The sequence below is a fragment of the Homo sapiens genome, chromosome 3 (assembly GCF_000001405.40).
Source record: "Homo sapiens chromosome 3, GRCh38.p14 Primary Assembly".
Classification (NCBI taxonomy): Eukaryota; Metazoa; Chordata; class Mammalia; order Primates; family Hominidae; genus Homo; species Homo sapiens.
In genome coordinates this window covers 13,198,575-13,219,025 of record NC_000003.12, presented here as the reverse complement: position 1 = coordinate 13,219,025, position 20,451 = coordinate 13,198,575, and the positions used below count along the sequence as shown (strand labels likewise).

Here is a 20,451-nt window from a genome sequence, read left to right as displayed (position 1 = left end):
GGCCTGGACCAGGGTGGCTGTGGCGACAAGAGCATTTTGGGTGCACGTGCAGCTGACTTGGTGGGTGGCATTGAGTAGGTGAGGGAAAAGGAGGCATTATGGGTGATTTGGGAGAGTTTGAGGACGTGTAGAAGCCTCTGGGGGTAGAGGTGGCGGCCGGGGCTGCCCTCCTTCCTCCAGGTTCCTTCCATTGCACACCTGCTGCCAGAGAAGTCATGCTGAAGCTGGATCTGTTCAGGCCACCCTCACTCAAGAATGTTCAATGGCTCCCCCATTGCCTGCAGGACCCAGTGCACACCCTTGAGGGTGGCAGTCAGGGGTCTCCCCGACAGACACCTCTGGGCCTGGGGCCACCCCTCACCTCCACCTGTGCATGAACAGGAGCAAATAGAGCACATGAACTTCATTTTCCAGTTTCCATGAAAAAATTTTAAAAACCTTTTCCCTTTTCCCCAGTCATGAGTTGTGAAAAGCATCTTGTGTGTTAGTGCAGCCACTATGCTGTCTCGGCCACAGGCTTCCCACACCTCCCGCCAAAGACTCTGTTGCCTTGGAGAGCAGCACCTTTTGAATGGTTCGAGTAGTTTTCAGATGAGTTATTCTGTCTGTCTTTTTCTCTCACCAGCCAGCTCATTCATGCACACACCTATGAGTCATTCATTCTACATTCCATGAGCACCTGCTGTATAGCCAGCACTGAGCCAGACCCTGGGGACTAATGGGATTAAAAAATGATCCCAACTTCAAGGATTCAGCACAGCAAGGTCCAGCCGCTCCCCACCCATGCCTTGCCCCAGGCCTCGCACACCTGGGAGCACCATAGGTGCATGTGGAAGGAAGTCAGCACACAGGAGGTGCTAGGTCACTCCTGCTCCCACCCCCGACACAGCTTTGTCAAGGTTCCCAGCCTCTGCATGTGGGAATCCTGGAATCCTAGAATGCCGGAGCTGCCAGGGGGCCTCGGAAGCCAGGGGTGCACCTGACTTTAGGTGGGGGGCTAGCATGTGATGATGGTGCTGCTTCTAGATGCTTCGGGTGCTGTGTAGAGGTCAGGTCATTACATCCCAGGTCTTTCCAGCTCTTCTGGTTCTGTATGGGACAGTGGCTCAGTTTGGTGCCAGTCTGGTGTCTGGGCCTCTTTCAGGGATCAGCTTGGGGTGAAACAGCAAGAGTCTGGAGCAAGAATGTGATGTCATTGTTTTGTGTTCCTGGTATTATTTTGAGCATTCTTTTCTATTTCAAGTAATGATAGTATTTTACATTTAAAATGTGAATATAAATAAAAGTGAATTTTCTTTTCAAAATACATTTAAGTAAAGGAGTGAGGCAATTTAAAGGAAAATACTAAGTAGTTTATAGGGACATGGCACAAAACTGGAGATGGGGCCTAGAATGAATCAAGTTGGGGAAATTTGGAGCCAGCCAGACCCAAGGCTTCTGGACCAGCTGTGGAGGTGCCTCCATTATGCTCTCTTTCTGGAGAGCAAGTCCCTCCCAGTGGTTTAAGGCAGAAGCATTGTGAAAAAAATGGTGTGAATGGAGAGAAAACTTGGTACTTCCACACAGTGGACTACTACTCAGCCCTGAAAAGGAACGATCTGCTGGTGCACCCTATGTCATGGATAAACCTCAAAAACACAATGCCAAGTGGAGGAAGCCCCGCCACCAGACTGTGGCATATGGAAGTCCTGAAAAGGCAACCCCATAGAGATAGAAGTAGATTAGTGATTGCTGGGGGCTGAAGATGGATAAGGGAATGCATTGGATGTAAATGCATGAGGGATCTCATTGGGAGAAGAAAACATTGTAAATCTAACATTATGGTGGTAATTGCACCATTCAGTGAAAGTTACAAAAGTCATTGAATTGTAAAACAAAACAAGCAAAAAAGCCTGAGTCAGGTTCACTCTGTTCAGTTGGATTTTTTTTTTAAAAGCACTAAGAATAAAATCAAAATCATCTTTTGTCATCTGTAATGGGGGAGAATGTCCTTCAGGGCTCTTCTCCATGGCAAATCCTTTGTCACCACCATTGGGCTCCTGTCATCAGCTAAGTTTTGCAGTGTGTTCACCTTGCCTGCGTCGTGATATGCTGTGTCCTATGCCATTAACTCTTCTAGGTCAGTGTGACCTAAACTCATCGGGAGAAAGCGTCCATATGTTCTGGAGTGGGCAGGGGTAAGTGAAGTTAAATGTGTGTATTCCATGTGCTAATGAATAGAATAGCATTTTGTTTCTCCACGGGGAAGAGAGTGCATCCGGGTGTTCTGTCCATCTGTCTGTCTGGACCCACTGTCCACTGCTCACCATACTCTGTGCCCTGGAGGGATGCCCTCTCTCACTGGCTTCCGCACCCTCCAGCTTTCTGGTGGGTTTACTGATGGGAGATCAGTGGGCAGGATGGAAAGAGGCTGGGATATTCATTTCTCTAGCCCCTCCTGCGGTCCCCCTGTCCCCAGCCACAGCTCCCCTCTGCAATCCCTTTGGGTTCAGGTGACTGCTCCCTCTCATCCCTTAGGTCCAGGGAGTGGACAGCTCGTCGCTCTGCTAGCCCTGGGTGTGTCTCTGGGGGGCTCCCTGCCCTCACCTGCCCTCTGTAAGCCGTCCCTTCATGTGGCTGGCTCAAGTGGCCCCTTCCGAGGGCCCCCTGTCCCCTGCTGGTAATGAGTCCTAAACATATTTGACCATGTGTTCCTCTGGGAGCTCACATGGGGCTGCTGGTGTAGGGGATGCTGGTTGGGAAATGCTGTTCTACAGCTGCGCTGTTGGCTGCCTATTTTCCCACACTGCATGGGTGCTGTTATTACATATGCAACCTCCTACCGTTGAGCAATTGGTCACTGCCAATCTTTGCATCTTTGTGCAATGACTGTGTCCTTTGGATAGATTCCTAGAATGGCCAAAGGACACGCCCACTTAAAGGCATTTCCAATAGGTGTTGGACAGAGCTCTGGAGGGCCTGCCCAGCCCCAGGAAGTGGCTCTACCCGTCTTTGAGGGCATCATCCCCTGCACATGGTGTCTGGATGTTTAGGAATCACTAAGAGAAGCAGACTTTGGCTGTGAGGGCTGAGACAGAGATTTGGTTTGGAAGCCCCGGGCCTGGTCTGCTCTGGGGCTCGGAGGATACTTGTTCTGTGAGCTCCACAGCAGATCCTGCCTGAAGGTCCCTGGCCCTTCTCAACAGGAGACGTTTGAGAAACGGGCTCTCCTCTCAGCCCAGCTGCTCCCCAGCTATATGGCATCAGCCACTGTGGAGGGGCTCTGAGCTTATGTGGGAATTGCTGATCATACCGGCCTCTCTGCCCAGCCCGTGCCAGGGGTGGAGTGCAGTGGCCATGTCGGCCTTCTCTGGGCCCCATCAACACATCCATGTGTCATCCATGCTGAGAAGATTTGGTAATGCCCTGGTGTTTTATTATCTGTGCAACTTTGCCTCCCTCGGCCCCAGGACCAAAGAGGCGTTTATCAAGCCTCTCAAATGTGCAGAGAGCTCTGTCTGGCTAATTGCAATTGTGAAGCTGTTCAGACTTAACATGGATTTTAAACGAAACTCTTGCAGTTCTTGTTCTTTGCTTTTCTGAGGGAGCCTGAGGCTGCCCTTCATGATGTCTGGCATGGCCAGAGCCTGAAGGTGGGCGCCAAAGCTCCGTGTGCTCCTGGAGCAGGTACTTTGGTTGTAGGCTGATGATCTGTGCTAATCTAGTTGGCGTGTCCTCTCGATTTCATCAGGCAGCCGTGTGGATTTCTCTGTCCTCTGGGCAAGGCCTCTGGTCAGCCATTCTGAGCCTTGGCCGCTGGTTTATTTGGAAACCTTTTCCATCCCACTGGCGGAGGCTTGGTTTGATTTTCCTCCATGCTCCTGTCTTGTGTACTGCAGGAGCCTGGCACAGGGGAGGGGTTGGTGGTAAAGAGTCACCTTCTCTTCCCTTGCCAGATGGTGCACAAGGAGCTGCATCCCCACCACCTGCCTCTCGCCTCTGCAGCCTTTGCATTCAGTAGGCACTTACTCATCCTGCCAGCCCTGAACCATGTCTGAGGGCCTAGTCTAGGTCAGGCACAGGGCTCAAGATTCTACTTATGGGTGCAGTAAATTCCACTCATCCGTTCACTCGGGTGCCTGTTCATTCGGCTAGTGCTCAGCAGAGCCCGACGTCGGTCCTGGCGCTCAGCTGCAAACACTGGGACCTGCTCTTGCTCTTTACACAGAAAGAGAAGTTCCAGAATGCCAGGTGCCGCACACCATCTGGAAGGTCAGAAAACCAGCTGCATGGTCAGGCATGGTGCCCAGCTGAGACCTCAACACCGCTCCCTGGAGACCGTGCTCCACCGGACACCAGCTCGTGTGCCACAGTGGCCCCTTGATGGCACCGTGGCCCTGCTCTTGCCAGGGTGGATTCCTGGAGGTGCCCCCTCCTCACCTCACAGGCTTCTGCTAGGATTCCTGCCCTGGTTCGTCCACCTGGCAGTGAGAGGCCCCAGGCTGCACCCACGTGCAATGGAGGCCATGAAAGGGAGTTTCCCATTTGTTTCTTGGAGGAAGGAGGGCTACGAGGAGGGACATGTCCCAGATTCAAGGCAGGGGGCCACGGCCAGAGTTCTGGCTCGAGCTTGCTGCAGCCCTGCCGTGTGCCTGCCTGTGCTGGCTGTGGGACGGGGTGAGGAGTCGGCCTGGGCAGCTCCTGGACAAGGGTGTTGGGAGCAGCAGATGTGGTGTTCCGGGTCCTCTGCAGAAGGCTGATGTTAATGACTCAGACAGGGTTAGTCTCACCCGGCCAGGGCAGGTTGGCTCTCAAAGGCTTAGAAGCCCCTGCAGTGCGACTAGAAGGGTAAGAGAGGGGTTCGTCGCGTTAAGGGTTGGGACCCTTTGGCAGGAGGGGAGAATGACACTGGAGCAGAGAGACCAGTATAGCAAAGGCCAGGAGGGGCTGGGCCGTGTGGACAGAGCACAGTGGACAGGGACACAGGGGACAGGCCTATCAGAGGAAGGAGCCGGGTGGCGGGGAGGGACCAGGAAGAGCCCGGGGGAGAGCGATGGGTCCAGGTTGGGGTTGGGAGAGGGCCCTAGATGGGACTTCTGGGCGGCAGAATCAGTGAGGCTCAGTGGCTAACTGGCTGTGGATACGAGCCCAGGATGGTGCCTGGCCCCTGGTTTTGGTGCCAGGCAGGTGGGCAGGTGATGGCCATTCCTGAGATGGCCTAGGCACTTATTTCCTTTCCTTGCAGCCATGTGCAGCATCTTTTCTACCTTGATGTTCCCAATCCCATCCCTGGGACCCACTCATATCCCTGGGACCCACTCACACTGGCCCGGTCATGTGGTGGTAATTGCTTAGCTTGCAGTCTGGTAATTACTAAATGTGTGGATTGTTTGGATTTCAGCAGGTGTAATATGATCTTTCATGACTAAAAACATGGCTCAAAGTGAAGGACATAAAGTTGAAGGAGCCGTGGATAAAATCCTGCCTTCAGGTTCCAAGAACGTGGGTGATGAGCTGATTCCATAATTCACAGAGAAGCTCAAGGAGCCCAGGGTAGCCAAAATGGTCCTGAAAAAGAACAAAGTAGGGGATCCCACAACTCCCGATGTCCAAGTTACTATAAACCAACAGTCATCATCAATACTATATGGTACCGAAACAGGAAGGACATCTAGATGGATGGAATAAAATTGGGAATCCAGAAATCAACCCATACACAGGGGGCCAAGATGGCTCAGTGGGGAAAGAACAGCCTCCTCAACAAATGCTGCTGGCACAATTAGATATCCACTTTTAAAAGAATGAATCTGGACTCTTGCTTCAGGCCATAAACAAAAAATTAACTCAAAATGTAACTAAATGTCAGAACTAAAAATGATAAAATACAAGAAAACTTAGGAGTAAATCTTCATGGCCTTGGGTTTGGCAAAGGATTCTTAGACATGACATGAAAAGCATGAGCAACAAAAGAAGTAGATAAATTGGACCCCATCAAAGTTAAAAACGTTTATGCTTCAAAGAATATTATCCAGAAAGTGAAAAGACAACTACAGAAAGGAAGAAAATATTTGCAAATCATATATTTGATAAGAGACTTGAACCTAGAATGTATAAAGAGCTCTTATAACTCAATAACAAAAAGACAACTCAACTAAAAAGCAGTCAAAGCAATGACAAAAATCACCTGATTTTAAAATGGGCCAAGGACTGGAATAGACATGTGTCCAGACAAGATACACCAGTGACCAGTACACATGTGAGAAGATGCTTGCCATCATTAGCCACCAAGGAAAGGCAAATCAAAACCACAAGGAGGTGCCGCTACCACCACCAGGATGGCTCTACTCAAAAAGTCAGACAATGACAAGTGTTGATGAGGAGATGAGGACGTGGAGAAACGAGCCCTCATGCATTGTGGGTGAGAATGTGAAATGCTGTAACTGCTTTGGAAGACAGTCCGGCAGCACCTTGAGCAGTTAGACATGTGTTACCCTGTGACCCGGCAATTCCACTCCAGGGCCTCTACCCAGGAGAGATGAAAACCTACAGAATTCATCCTTAAATGTTTGTAACAGCATTATTCATAATAACCAGAAAGTGGAAACAACACAAATGTCCGTCAGTTGATGAATGAACACACTGTGGTCTCTCCACACAGTGGAATATTATTCAGCTGTGTAAAGAATGAAGTCCTGATACATGCTACAACATGGGTGAGCCCTAAAAACATGCTAGGTGCAAGAAGCCATTCACAAAAGTCCACATATTATACAATTCCATTTATATGAAATGTCCAGAATAGAGAAAACTGTAGAGACAGAAAGCAGATTAGTGAGTGGTTGCAGGGGCTGGGGCAGAGGAGGCAGAGAGAATAGAGAGCTGATAGCACAACAACCTTGGTGGGAAGGTACGATTAGCTCCACTTTACAGCTGAGAAAACTGAGGCTCAGAGAGGTTAAGAAACCTGCCCCTCAGAGGCACAGCACACAATGGGACAGAGGTGGCATTCAGACTCTGGACTGCCTGACTCCAGAGCTGCTGAGCCACCGCTAGGGCCTCTCACAGAGGCTGGGCACCGACACGCGCCAGAGCCCACAGGGGCTCAAAAACACAGGGCCGTGGGGGTTTCGGGTCCTCTGGCCACGGAAAGGTTCTGTGGACACGAAACCAGCGTGGAGGGACTGTGCCTGCGAGGGTGGGCGAGGGCTGCATGGAGGGTGCGGCATTTGCCGTGGGCTTTTAGGGATTTCATCTGCCAGGATGGGGGCAGGGAGAGAGGGCCTTCCAGGAAGAGGGAAGTTCCAGGGCAAAGGCCTGGAGGCTGGGCACCTAGATTTGGGAAACGTGGTGGCTGAGCAGGGCTGGGGTGGTGCCAGTTCGTGGGTCCTGGCCTGGCCTTCAGGGATAGGCTGAGGGGATCAGACTTTCTTTTGGGGCCATGGAGAGGCAAGGATGGTGACTCTCCTGCTGGCCCTGTGGGCTCCTACTAGGGGAAGGGCGTCCAGGGAGGTGGCTGAAGACACTGCTCCCAAAAGGGGACTTGGGGGTGGATGCCTGAAGAGCCGAGACCCTGAGTTGGGGTCTTTGTTTGTAAGGTGACCTGGGGCAGGGGGCAGAGGGGGCCCGTGGGGGCCCAGAAAACAGAGACCTCAGGCAGGAATATTTCCTCCCTCCCTTCCTAATTCAGTAAATTTCATGGGCACGCTATTAGAAGTCCTGGGTTCAGGAGCAACAGGATGAAGAGCTCGCTGCCAAGAAGGCCTTTCATGTTCATTGCTGTCGAGGAGGTGGTGAGACCCCCGTCATCACAGGTGTGAAAGCAGAGGCTGGATCCTCATTTCTTCAGGCTGTGCTTACACTGTTCTCCTGCCCTGTGTCTTGTCCACACAGACTGCGAGCTCCATGAGGGTGGAGATCACTCAGTCATCCGACACACCTTTACTGCACACCTACTGTGTGTCAGGCACTGCTAGCCAGAGGATGCATCAGGGAACAGCATACAAGGTCTCTACCTTCTAGCAGACTCTTGTCTCTCTCAAGTGATAGTACAGGATGATCTTTCCAGAGGGAGGCATCTGGGGTCTGTGCTGCTGTGTTTATAGAGTCACAGCCTCCTCGCCTCCCACTCGGCCTCCCGGAGTCATTGACTGGCCATGTTCCTTTCAGTCCACAGTGGGCCGTGCCCTCCATGTGGATGGCGTTTGTTTACAAGGCCTCAGGGCCTGCCTCCTTCCCCTTCTCCCCTAGGAGTGTCCCCATCAGGGTGGGCACAGGGAGAAACACATGACTCCTGAGGCTGCCTGAAGCCCACTCAGCTCTGTGGAGTTCGGCCCCCGAGACACTCTCCTTCTTAGGAAAACTCAGAGCGGAGGAGCCCCGGCTGTTAGTGGACTCCAGTGGCTGTGGCATGTGTCTGCCTGCAGTTTCCACGGGCCTGGCTTTATCTGCGTAGATTGGGATAATCTAGAGTAGTTGCTGGAGCTCCTGGGGTTAAGCCGCATGGACACGCATCAACCCCCTCCTTCTGAGCACTACAGGCAATTATCCCAGGGGAGGGGCGGGTGGCCTGGCAGCTGGTGCCTCTGCAGTGGAGGTGGCAGTGGGGGCTTGGAGATTGCGGTTCCCTTCCCTGGGCAGCCCAGGGAGGTGCAACCCCTGCCAGCTGCGTGAAACATTCTCCTGCAATGAGTGTGCGGGGCTAGATGAGAAGCCGAACTGGAGCCCTGGGAGGGCACCCGAGGATAAGGGCACGACCTACCCTGTCCCGGGCACTTGGCGTTCATTCTACCTCACTGGGTCCCCCCAGCCTGGGGGATACCACAGCCAGGCCACACAGCCCAAGCCACATAAGTGGCATTTGATGAAGCCAGGATTAAAATCCTGGTGCGTTTGTGTCCGAGGTTGATGTTCATTCACCAGGCTGGGCTGCCTCCCCACTAACTCCCTGGGCTGAGAACCGGGACTCAGAGGCTGAGGACTGGGACTCAGAGGCTCAGAAGAGTGCAGTGACCTGCTCAAGGTCACACAGTGAGCCTATGACATTGCTGGGCTGAGACTCCTGAGCCTCCCACTGCAGGAAAATAAGGGATGTGTGGGTAATGCCCCCACTGCATAGCAATGGGAAAGGTTGGAGGATGGTGGGGCTGGAGCCCTGGGAGCATGTGAGGGACTCAGCCCCAGTGCTGGGTGTTGGGCTGCTGCGGTGCTCTTGGAAAGTGCAAAAGAATTCCCAAGGGAGCACGCACAGCAGCATCCAGAACTGGCCCATCCTCCCTGGGATGCAGTGGATTATTCACGCTCAGGCTCTCGGGAGGAAGGAGCTGTGGACTTAAGAGTTGGAGAGCCCCCCAGCATAGGCAGCTGGTATTAAAAATCCGAAGTGCAGGCCAACTAGAGACCTTCAGTGTGGTCCGAGAGGGCACGGAGGCAGGGGTGTGCTGCAGGGAGAGCCTAGCCCCAGGCACATGGGAGGGCAGGGAGGGCATGGGGGTGCTGGGCTGTGAGAGCCGATGCTTCCCTTGAATTGCCCAAGCTGCACTGGTCTGGAAGGAGGCCCCAGCACAGCCTGCGCGAGGAAGCTGGCATGCATGGAGGCCTTGGGGAATGATTCTGCAGCTGTGCAGCAAATATTGGCTATTGGTTTAGCTGGGCCCTGGGAAAGGAATACATTACAGGGAATTGCAGGCCAGGCACATTTAATCTATGCTAATTTACCGTATTGGAGAGGGAGGGAGAGAGATGGAGATAGAGCAAGCAAGTGCAACTGGACTAGTGGACACCATTTGCCTCCATCTCTCTTTGTACCTGAATTGGGAATGGGAGGGTTTAGTTTCTTGGGGCTTTGTGGGCTGCATGCCTCTTGCCTGCCAAATGTGAGTCCAGTGTCTGCCCACATGTGTCCCTGCCCCTGAATATAAACTGGCTGCCTCGCCTGGGCTCAGCCAAAGGGACAACAGCCATCCCTGTGATGACAAGTGGCACCGCAGTCCAGGCAGCCAGGACAGTCGGTGGTCTGAGTCACTTGCTCTGAGCCCGGAAGGTGCTGCTGGTTCACACACTGCTTCCTTGGGGTGTTGGTCTTGGTGTGACTCTTGCCCACCCCACTGACTTTGAACTGGCCCCTGGTCAGGGCTGACCCCTGACTTCAGACGTGGCCTCCCCATCCCGGGGCAACCCCCAGGCACTCCACGGCAGGGCAGTGAGCACGCAGGGGTGCATGCTGCGAGCTCATCCTCCAGGGTGGAGTGAGTGCGGGCAGCCTGGGGAGGGAACATGGCTGGAACATGAAGGGGGTCGGAGTTGGGGGCTCCTCTCGAATCAGCAGACTGGCTGACTGTGGGCAGAGCTTGGCACCACTTCACTCCTGAAACTGCTCATTCGTTCCCTCCCTCAAAACCATTGAGCCAGACCTGGCTATGGGTCAGGCCAGAGCTCATCTGGGGAACAGACATGCAAATGAATCCATCAAGAATGCTGGGATCGGGGACCAAGGCAGATGTGGGTTTGAGGGGCTTGGGCTCTGGGGAGATAAAAGGAGGTGTCCCTGGGTGGGTTCCCGAGCCTGGGTTGTTACAGGTGAACAGGAGTTCACCAGGTGGACGAGGGACGGAAGGAGGCACAGCCTTTGCAGAGGCATGGAGACGTGGCCAATGAGCTAAGGCTCTTAGAGCAGTTCTGGGATCTGGGGCTGGAGAAGACGCTGGTGGCCTGATCCGGAAGGGCCCTGTGTGCCCTTTGGAGTAGCTCCTTTTCTCTGTAGAGTGGGAGGCACCAAAGGCTGTGTTCTAGGGAAGGTATTTGGAGAGGATGTGTCTCCCAAGGCATTCTCCAGCCTGCCCTGCTCAGTTAAGCCCCAAGTGGCTGCTCCAGATCTAGTGGCCGTGCAGTGTCTTGTCGCTCATTGTTTTGCTCCATCTGTCTGGCCACCCACCCACCCAAGTCTTGCCATGTTCTGAGTCACTATCTACTTACAAATTTTTAAGTTGAATTATTTGGGAAACTCATTGTTTAATGAATCATAGAAAGATGTCTGTGATAGAAACATACAGTGATTTATTCGTTCATTCAAGATGCATTTGTTGAGCAACTGCTATGTGCCATGCTGGGGGTTCTGTAGTGACAAAGCTGTGCTCTCTCTTGGAGCTGATGTTGCAGTGAGGAGAGATAAATGGAGTAAACAAGTCAGCACAAAGGCAGGAGGGAAGGCTGGTCAGTGTATGGGGACCACACAAGGCTGGCCGGACCACGTGGCCGGGTGGCAGGGATGGTTGGTTTAGATGCGATGGTGAGAGAGAGCCTCCCGGGAGAGCTGGCGATGGCGTGGCCGGCTGATGGCAGGGATAAGCCCCTGCAGGAATCTGAGGGGCGAAGGAGCCCTGGGTGCAGAGGCTCTGGGGTGGGGACAAGTGAGGAGCCTCAGGGAGGCCAGGGCAGAGGCTGGGGCAGGAGACAGACCCAGATGATGCCAAATCCTCTTGACTGGGCTGCGAATGGGAACTGGCGTGGAGTACGAAGGGAACCCACTGGCACGTTGGCAGTGGGTGGTGACATTGCCAGAGTGCTCTGGCGGGTTGTGTCATGGGGAGAGTTAGAATGGCAGCAGGGGGTCTGGGGGTGGCCAGAGGGAAGCCGTCCCAGGGACCTGGCAGAGAAGACGGGGCTTGGGTCAGGGAGGTGGCCGTGGAGGGGGAGAAGTAGGCAGATTGGCGATGGGTGTTGGAGCGGAAGCTGTTAGGACCTGCCGACATGGCTGGATGTTGTGGGAGGGAAACAAGCCAGGAGGAATCTGGTGGGAAGGTTTGAGCGGAGGTGGGGAAGGTCAGGGTCAAGAGCTTGGTCTGGGTGTGTTCAGCCAGAGACGCTTGTTAGACATCAGGTGACAAGGATAGGTGGGTGGTGAGGGCACAAGTTGGGTGGTCCCACGATGCAGTAGTAGAAATTGTCAGGGCCAGCAACTCCCAACAGCCCTGCCCAGGTCTACGAAGCTCAGATGCTGTCCTGGCTAATATGCTAGAGATGGGAAATGACCAGTCCAGGTGTGGCTAACCAGGAGGCGGGAGGTGCCGGGAGCTGGGGATCAGGTTGTGACTGGCCCTGACCTGAGGCTGCTTCGGGGCCCACCTTCTCCCTCCTACTCACCCACCCAGGACCTCAGGTACACGGAATGCAGCCATCATAACTCTTGGTTCATGCCTCCCTCCCATCATTGGTCCATGCCTGGCCCCGTTTATTTATGATAGCAATACACAAATAAATACCAAGATGTGCACTCACCAGCTTAGTGTCTGTAAGCTGCGTCTCCCCATGTGCCCTCACCATCCCACCTGCCTCCTTTCCCACAGGTGACTGCTGTCCATCTTACATTCATCCTGCCCTGGCTCTGTTCTGGTTTGCTTTGTTATATAATGCATACGATTTTTAAAAAGTTTTGCTAATGATTTGCAAAATTTTAATTAAGGCATAGCTCATGTGTAACAAAGGGCACACATCTTAGCTGCAAACTCATGAGTTTTTACGGTCATATGTGCCTATGGAGATGAACATATCAACTACATTCATTTGGTGTTTTCAGTCTTGTTAATTTTAGCCACTCTGATGGGCATATCGTGGTGTCTCATTGTGGTGTTCTTTTGCATTTTCCTAATGATTAAGGATGTAGAGCGTCTTGTCATGGGTCTCCCAGCCATTAGACTTTCCTCTTTTGTGAAGTATCTGTACAGCGCCCCCCACCCCACCTTATCCAAGGGGGATGTGTTTCAACCCCTAGTAGATGCCTGAAATCTCTGTTAGTGCCACACCCTATATACATGATGTTTTGTCCTATACATACATAAGATGGGTGGATGGAGGGGTGGATGGGTGGATGGAGGGGTGGATGGGTGGATGGAGGGATGGATAGGTGGATGGAGGGATTGATGAGTGGATGGATGGAGAGCTAGATGGGTGGATGGAGGAATGGTTGACCGGATGGAGAGATAGATGGGTGGGAGGAGTGATGGATGGGCAGATGGGGGGATGGGGGATGGATGGGTGGATGGAAAGATGGATGAGTAGATGAAAGGAGGAATAGATGAATGGATGGCGGGATGGATGGGTGGGTGGAGTGATGGATAAGTGGATTGAGGGATGGATGGCTGGATGGATGGGGGATGGGGGATGAATGGGGGGATCGATGAGTGGATGAAGGGATAGTTGGATGGATGGGTGGAGGCATGGATGGATGGTTGGATGGAAGGATGGATGGGTGGGTAGAGTGATGGATGAGTGGATTGAGGGATGGATGGGAGGTGGAGGGGAGATGGATGGGTGGATGAAGGGATAGTTGGATGGATAGGTGGCTGGATGGGTGGAGGAGTGGATGGATGTTTGGATGGATGGATGAGTGGATGGAGGGGTGAAGAGATGGATGGATGGAGGGATGTATGGGTGGAGGGCAGGAAGGAGGGAGAAAGGGATAGAAGGATGAAGCATGGATCAGTAGAGGGAGGGAAGGATGGATGGGTGGATGGGTGGGTGGATGGATAGAGGGAGGGAGGGAAGGAAGGAGGAATAGGTAGATGGGCAGGTAGATGGAGGGAGAGAAGGAAGGATGAGGTGGTCCGGAAGCATCTCAGATGGGACTAACAGGAACGTTTCAGATTTGTGGCAGCTGTTTCCTGGTACTGGAGCCTGGGCACAGGTGGGCGTTTACAGTCCTGTCTGGTGCTTCTGAGCTGGGCTGAGTGACTGAACTAGTCTGTTGTATCCCAGGTGGAGGTGAGCTTATGGCACAGAATGGTTCCTTGTGGTTTAGGGGGTCCAATTTTGAGAACATGAACACGTCGGCTTGCTGCTGTAGCCTTCCTGTTCAGGATGGGGTGGGAGATGTGCGCTGGGCAGTTCGCTGTAGCAGTACCAAGTCAGCACAGGAAAGCATTTTCTGCTCAGAACTGTAGAAAACGGACAGCACGGGCCAGGCGCGGTGGCTCACACCTGTAATCCCAGCACTTTGGGAGGTCGAGGAGGGCGGATCACCTGAGGTCGGGAGTTCGAGACCAGCCTGGCTAACATGGTGAAACCTCTTTTCTACTAAAAATACGAAAAGCCCGGCGTGGTGGTGCGCGCCTGTAATCCCAGCCGCTCGGGAGGCTGAGGCAGGAGAATCGCTTGAACCCAGGAGGCAGAGGTTGCAGTGGGCCGAGATCGCGCCACTGCACTCCAGCTTGGGCAACAAGAGTGAAATTCCGTCAAAAAAAAAAAAAAGAAAGAAAGATAGAAAGAGAAACACAGAAAGAAAAAGAAAGAAGGAAGGAAGGAAGGAAAGAAAGTAAGATAGAAAGAAAGAGATAGAGAAAACGGACAGCACGAACGCGCAGGACAGGGACCCGAGCCGCCCCTTCTGAGCGCCTACTGCGTGCCCTTAACAGCGCTGGGCCTTTTCCGCCCAGGAATCCCGGGCGATCTCCCCGAAGCTCCGGAAGGCTGAGCGCCTCCGTCCCCATTGCAGAGATGGGGCAGCTGAGGCGCAGCGTGAGCCGCTCTCGCTAGCGGTGGGCGGCCCCGGCCTCCATCTTCTAGGCTGGGAGCCAAGGTTAAGAGCAGCTCCTGCCTTGCTGGACCGTGGGAGGGGGAAGTGCGACAGTGCTCTGAAGAGGCTTGGCGAACCTCGGCCGATGTGGGGCGGTGCTCTGTCGTACAGGTGTGACTCTTCTCCGTTTCTCCGTCTCTCTTGGCTGGGATCATCGGGGGAGTCAGTGGGCACCAGCGCTCATTTGAATCCACCCCCGTCCTGGCGCTGGCGCCCGCGCTGCTCACTGAGGTTTTCCTCGATGACAGTCGCACGTGGAGGCGGCGGGCGGGTGTGAGGCTGCACGCGGGGCCCCAGCTCTCCGCAGCTCTCCGCAGCTCTCCCTGGGCTTGGCGTCTTCCCTGCCCGGTGGAGAGTTACCCCTGCGGCCCATGAAGGTGTAGAGTGCCTGCGTCCTCCCTTCTGAAGGCCGGACAGCCCCACCCTGGAGGGGGTTCACAGATGGGCGGGGGGAAGGGGAGCTGGGGACATTCTGAGCCCAGTTCTACCTTTGGCTCACTTGGAGACAGGCCAGGGGCCTAGGGCAGGAAAGCCGAGTCCCAGCCTGGGACGGGGTCTGCCAGGCCCCACATACCCCTGCCCAAGCCTCCGTCTGTTCACTGGCACGCTCAGGGCCCCGCACGTGTTAGGTGCTCAGTAAATGTGAGGAACCATGAGAGGAAGCAGGGAGGGAAGGATGAATTCTTGGACATGGGGCCATGTGACTCAGTCTGGCTGATGGGCAGGGGCTGTCAGTCTCTTCCACCAGTGGTTATCTGCCCATCATTTGCCAGCACAGGGCTCCCTGACTTGCTTTGAGACCCACCACGTCCTCTCTGTGCGCGTGTGACTAAGGGTACTGCAAGCGCAGTGTTTCGGCTGCTGGTGGGGTTTGCTGATTCGTGGAGCAGCCACTCCTTGCCTCTCCGGTGTGTTTCCTGTGTCCCGGGCACCCTGCAGACCTCCTGTTCCTGCCACGGGCCTGGGGCAGGGGCATCACCAGGACAGGCTTGGGAGTCTCTGGAATCTGGGGGTGCCCACTACAGGAATTTGTCCTGTGCATGTGGGCAGAGAGATGGGCTATGGGGTTCTGGGGAACTGAGGAGCGCAGTTTAACAAAGGGACAACTTCCAGAGTTGTGCGAGGTGAAGAAAACCAACAAGGGCCGTGCAGCTTCCAAGAACTAGTGGCAGTGGGAGCCCTTGCTACGCCTCAGCTGCAGGGGCAGCACCTGTGGTCTGTGTGCCTGTGTGGGTGAGTTGTGTGTGTGTGCATGTATGTGTGTGTGTGCATGTGTGAGCATAAGAGTGTGTGTGTGTGTGTGTGTGTGTGTGTGTAGTAGTGGTAATGGAACCGAATGAGCAGCAGGAATGAATACCCTGGCCTCTCCTCCGTCCTTCCCACCTCCTGCTCGTGCCTTGTGTTGGCTCAAAGAGTCAGCCAAGAGAGCAGCGGAGCTGGGTGACGCACTATGTGGAGGTCAGCCTCCTAGGACACAGAGCCAGGCAGAGGGCCATCTGTGAATGGGCACAACCAGAGCACACAACTTACAGGGCACTGTGGGGAACACACAAGGTGCTGCATGTAGCATGCTCAGAATGGCGCCCGGCACACTGATCACGCGTAAAGGACATTAACAGTGTGATATGACTCTTTCCAGCCCTCACAGTAGGGGTCCAGCACAGGCTTTTTTTATCGTGGTGCAATGCAGATAACATAAAATTGACCATCGTAACCATCTTTGAGTGTACGGTTCAGGGGTATTAGTACATTCATATTGTCATACAACCGTCACTATCATCTATCTCCAGAACTTTTCATTTTCCCACACTGAAACTCTGTCCCCATGAAACACTGACTCCCTATGCCTCCTCCCCCAGCCCCAGGCACCCACCATTCCACTTTCTGTCTCCATGAGTTTGACTACTCCAGGGACCTCATCTAGGGGCAGTCACACAGTATTTATTTTTTTGTGACTGGCTTATGTCACCTAGAGTAACGTCCTCAAGGTTCATCCATGTTGAATTTCCTTCCTTTTTAAGGCTGACTATAAGGATGGGTGCACCACATTCTGTTTATTCCTCCATCGATGGTCACTTGGGTTGCTTCCACACTGTAGCTGTTTTGAGTAATGCTGCTATTCATGTGGATGTACAAAGATCTTTTTGAGACCCAACTTTCGTTTCTTTCCTATATATACCCAGAAGAGGGGTTGCTGGATCATGCATTAATTCTGTGCTTAATTTTTTGAGGAACCACCATACTGGTTTTATAACAGTGGCACCATTTTTCATTACCATCACCAGTACACAAGGATTCCAATTTCTTCACATCCTTGCAACAATTGTTAGCATCTGTTTTTTGATAGGAGCCATCCTAATGGGTCTGAGGTGCCAGCACAGACTTTTGCACGTGGTAGAATGAGTGGATAGAGACAACGTCTGATCACTGAAGCAAGACTCCTCTTGGCAGCGGCTGCAGTTGGCTGGAGTGTCACTGTGGATTGGAAAATAATGTAGTATTTCTTTTAAAGTACTCCATAATAATTTTCCCCACATTATTTTCCCATTTGTCCTAACTAGCAGGATTTTGATGTAACAAAGCTATCCAAAAAGCCACAAGGTTTATGACTATAAATGAACTCTCTCAGCAACACAGATGCATGGCATTGAGGCTAAATTAATGGCTGTGATTTCTGTGTATTGGAATCCTGGAAATGAAAATGCTGTTTCCCCTCTGGACAAAGCTTTGGTCTTGAATCATGGGGGAAAATGTAGTGCTTCTCTCCAGGATACTGGCTGTTGTGGCCATGCCTGTGACCCCGTGGGTCTACTCTTTGCATATGAAATCTTAAAGCAGTCTGGGCACGGTGGCTAAGGCCCATAATCCCAGCACTTTGGGTGGCCGAGGCAGGAGGATTGCTTGAGGCTGGGAGTTCGAGACCAGCCTGAGCAACATAGCAAGACCTCATCTCTACCAAAAATAAATAAATAAATAAATAAAATTAGCTGGGCCTGGTGGTATGCAACTATAGTTCCAGCTAGTCAGGTGGCTGAGGTGGGAGGATCACTGGAGCCCAGGAGTTCGAGGCTGCAGTGAGCTATGATCGCATTACTGCACTCCAGCCTGGGTGAAAGAGTGAGACCTGTCTCTAAAAAAGAAGAAAGAAATGTTAAATCAGCCTTTCCCAATGTCTCCTCCCCAGGACTCCTGCCCAGCTTGGAAACAGCACACAAGGGCACAGGGGAACTGGTGGGTACAGAGGGAAGGTTGGGAGCTTGGAGTCTGAGCTCCGGTCACCGTCCTTCCTGGCCATGTGGCCTTGAGGGAGCCGACTTCTGTTTCTTTGAGGACCACCAGCTCCCCCTGCTGCAGATGGAAGAGTGAGACTCACCTCACGCATTTGTTGTGCGGAGTAAATGGCATAACTCACAGGCAGTGCCCCCAAAAGTGAGTCGAATGCAGCTGCTTGTCATTGAAGCTGTGCAGTGAGGCAGGGCTCAGGGACTAGGAATGGGGTCTTGGCTCGATTTCCCCATCTTGCTGATACTTCTGTTTCCAGGTGCATGTTACGGCTTTCCACTGTTAACTCACCCTTCTATGCCTGTGATCTCATTGGATCGTCCCAAGAAATTATCATTTCTAACTTAGAAATGAGAACAAGGAAGCACAGAGAGGTTTAGTGACTCGCCCAGAGTCAAAACAGCAAGGCAGTAACTGATCAAGAGCTGATGAAACAGTGCAACATGTGTGTGAAATGTAAGGTGTTCATGCTGGGCCAGCTTGCTCGCCCTCCCTGCTGTGCCATCTTCCGGAAAGCAGCCCAGCCTGGAGAGCAGGGGCTAGCAGCCGTTCTTCCCCACTCTCTTGGCCTTTCAGCTGCCTGTCCGTCAGGAGTCAGGTGCACTTCCCTGCCAGGCGTTCACCCTGACCTGGGGCGCTCAGTTCACCTTCTCAACCTCGTTATCTGGAAAGGGATCCAGCCCTGGATTTTTATGGAAGTCCCCTTTTCAGGTTGTTGTTGGTTACAGATGTGATCGTTGTTTCTGATCTAGAAAGTCTGAGGAAGCAGAAAGAGAAACATGAGTCTGGAGAGGCCGCTCAAGTCGAAGTCAGTGAGGGGACACGGTGGAGAATTTTCTTCCAGTCTTCCCCGGTCATGGTTTGCTCATAGTTGAAACAACTCAGTAACTGCTTATAAATGATAAGGGGGGGGAGTATGTGTGTGTGGTGTGTGTGTGTGTGTGTGTTGTATGTGGGTGTGTTTGTGTGCACGTCTGGTGTATGCATATAGTGTGTGATGTGTTTGTGTATGTGTGTGTTGTATGTGTGTGTATGTGTGTTTGGTGTGTGTGCATGTGGCATATGTGAGTAGTCTGTGGTGTATGTGTGTGTGCGTGCGCGCGCATGTTGTGTATATGCATGTTGTGTGTATGTGTGTGGTGTGTGTGCGTGTGTAGTGTGTGGTGTGTGTGATGTACATGTGGCGTGTGTGTGTGGTGTGTGCATGTGTGGCATATGTATGTGGTGTGGTGTATGTGTATGTGTGTATGGTGTGTGTGTGTGTGTGACGTGCGTGGTGTGTGGTGTATCTGTTTGTTGTGTGTGTGTGTGGTGTGTGTGTGTGGCATATGTGTGTGGTGTGCTGGTTTCCCTTGCGGGGGCTGCTTCTCCACCCTGTCCCAGCTGCTTGCAGGGGTCCTGGCAGCATTTGCCTGGAGCAGAGGGAAGGGCATCCTCACGTCCGGGGACAGCCACGGAGGACTCAGATGGGGGCAGGGTGTCCTCGTGGGCGAGCAGGTTCCTAAGGGCCTCAGGGGCCACTCCAGGCCGTGGCGCAGGAAGCCTATATGGGGCCAGTCGCTGCACAGGACCTGAAAAGTACACTGAAGGAGGGTCGCGGGGCTGGCCTTGGTCGGTGGGAAGGAGCGGAGGGGCGACCACAGCACAGCAAGTGGGGAGTGGCAGGCAGGGACACCGGTGCTGCTCAGAGCTGGGCTGTGGGGAGGATTTGAGGCAATGTCCACACAGTCCTGTGCGAGCTGCCCAGCTTGGAAAGGGGCTGCTGCTCTGCACAGATGTCCCTGGACGGCCCCTGTCCCAGGGGGTGCCCTAGGAGCTTTGGGGTGGAGGTTTGGCCCACGCCCATTTTCTCAGTCACAACAATTGGAGCCAGAGTCCCCAGCCCAAGCTGTCAACCAGGACTGCGTCAAATGTGTTGGCTCCTAGAGAAGGGGCCAGGTGCGGCCACCTCCACAAAGCCTTCTCACTGCCCCAGCTCTCTTCCATCCTAAGCCTGGCCAGTGCCTCCTCCGGGCTGAGAGCTCTCTCTGATGTGAGGCTGGTCTTACTTTTTCACTGCCATGTTGTGTCGCCTGCCCCACCAGCTCCCCCGTCCCCTCGCACCCCCGCCGTGCCATGCATGTGGCTGAATGCAGGAGTGACTGACCACACCCTTTATGTGCATGGGTTTTCATTATGGAAGCAAGTTAAAACATTACAGAGAGCTTGGAAAATACAGGCTAAACACTCGCCCGGCAGCCTCCCAAGCCCAGCCATGGTCACTCTGGTGTATTCCGTCCTGGGCATTTCTCCTCAGCAGGCTTTTTCTTTCCCAGGAACAGAAAGTGTGGGATTCTGCTTTTCTTCAGCAGAATAATAACTCCTCACTCCAAGGGCATGAGCTCCAGCAGGCACTGGCTTCAGCTCCCACGTGCCTTGCTGTGTTGGGTGCTTTGGGTGGAGGCTTAGCCTCTTCTTGTGGTGGAGAAACACAGGCTAAGACATGGCAGTGCCTTGCCCATGGTCACATGGTGTGTAAGAGGACGCAGCCAGCCGGCATGAGAGCTGGAATTCAAAGGCAGTTGGCTGTGGTATGATCCCGGCTGTAGGTCACCACCAAGCCAAACTCAGAACATGTGCATTTC

At 53.3% G+C, this 20,451-nt stretch overlaps 1 protein-coding gene across 6 annotated transcripts in view, besides 3 other annotated features; it reads left to right on the top strand.

Annotated features, from left to right (window-relative positions):
- The window catches only part of IQSEC1 (IQ motif and Sec7 domain ArfGEF 1), a 386,215-nt gene that overhangs the window by 64,232 nt on the left and 301,532 nt on the right, over positions 1-20,451 (top strand). The gene's annotated exons all lie outside the window — the stretch shown is intronic.
- Positions 9,008-9,545: an enhancer, noted in NCBI's record as "H3K27ac-H3K4me1 hESC enhancer chr3:13250981-13251518 (GRCh37/hg19 assembly coordinates)". NCBI's record gives its function as "activates a minimal SCP1, AML or CMV promoter by ChIP-STARR-seq in primed H9 embryonic stem cells {active_cell/tissue: H9 hESC(primed)}" and the evidence as "EXISTENCE:reporter gene assay evidence [ECO:0000049][PMID:30033119]".
- Positions 9,546-10,081: an enhancer, noted in NCBI's record as "H3K4me1 hESC enhancer chr3:13250445-13250980 (GRCh37/hg19 assembly coordinates)". NCBI's record gives its function as "activates a minimal SCP1, AML or CMV promoter by ChIP-STARR-seq in primed H9 embryonic stem cells {active_cell/tissue: H9 hESC(primed)}" and the evidence as "EXISTENCE:reporter gene assay evidence [ECO:0000049][PMID:30033119]".
- Positions 19,518-20,064: an enhancer, noted in NCBI's record as "H3K27ac-H3K4me1 hESC enhancer chr3:13240462-13241008 (GRCh37/hg19 assembly coordinates)". NCBI's record gives its function as "activates a minimal SCP1, AML or CMV promoter by ChIP-STARR-seq in naive H9 embryonic stem cells {active_cell/tissue: H9 hESC(naive)}" and the evidence as "EXISTENCE:reporter gene assay evidence [ECO:0000049][PMID:30033119]".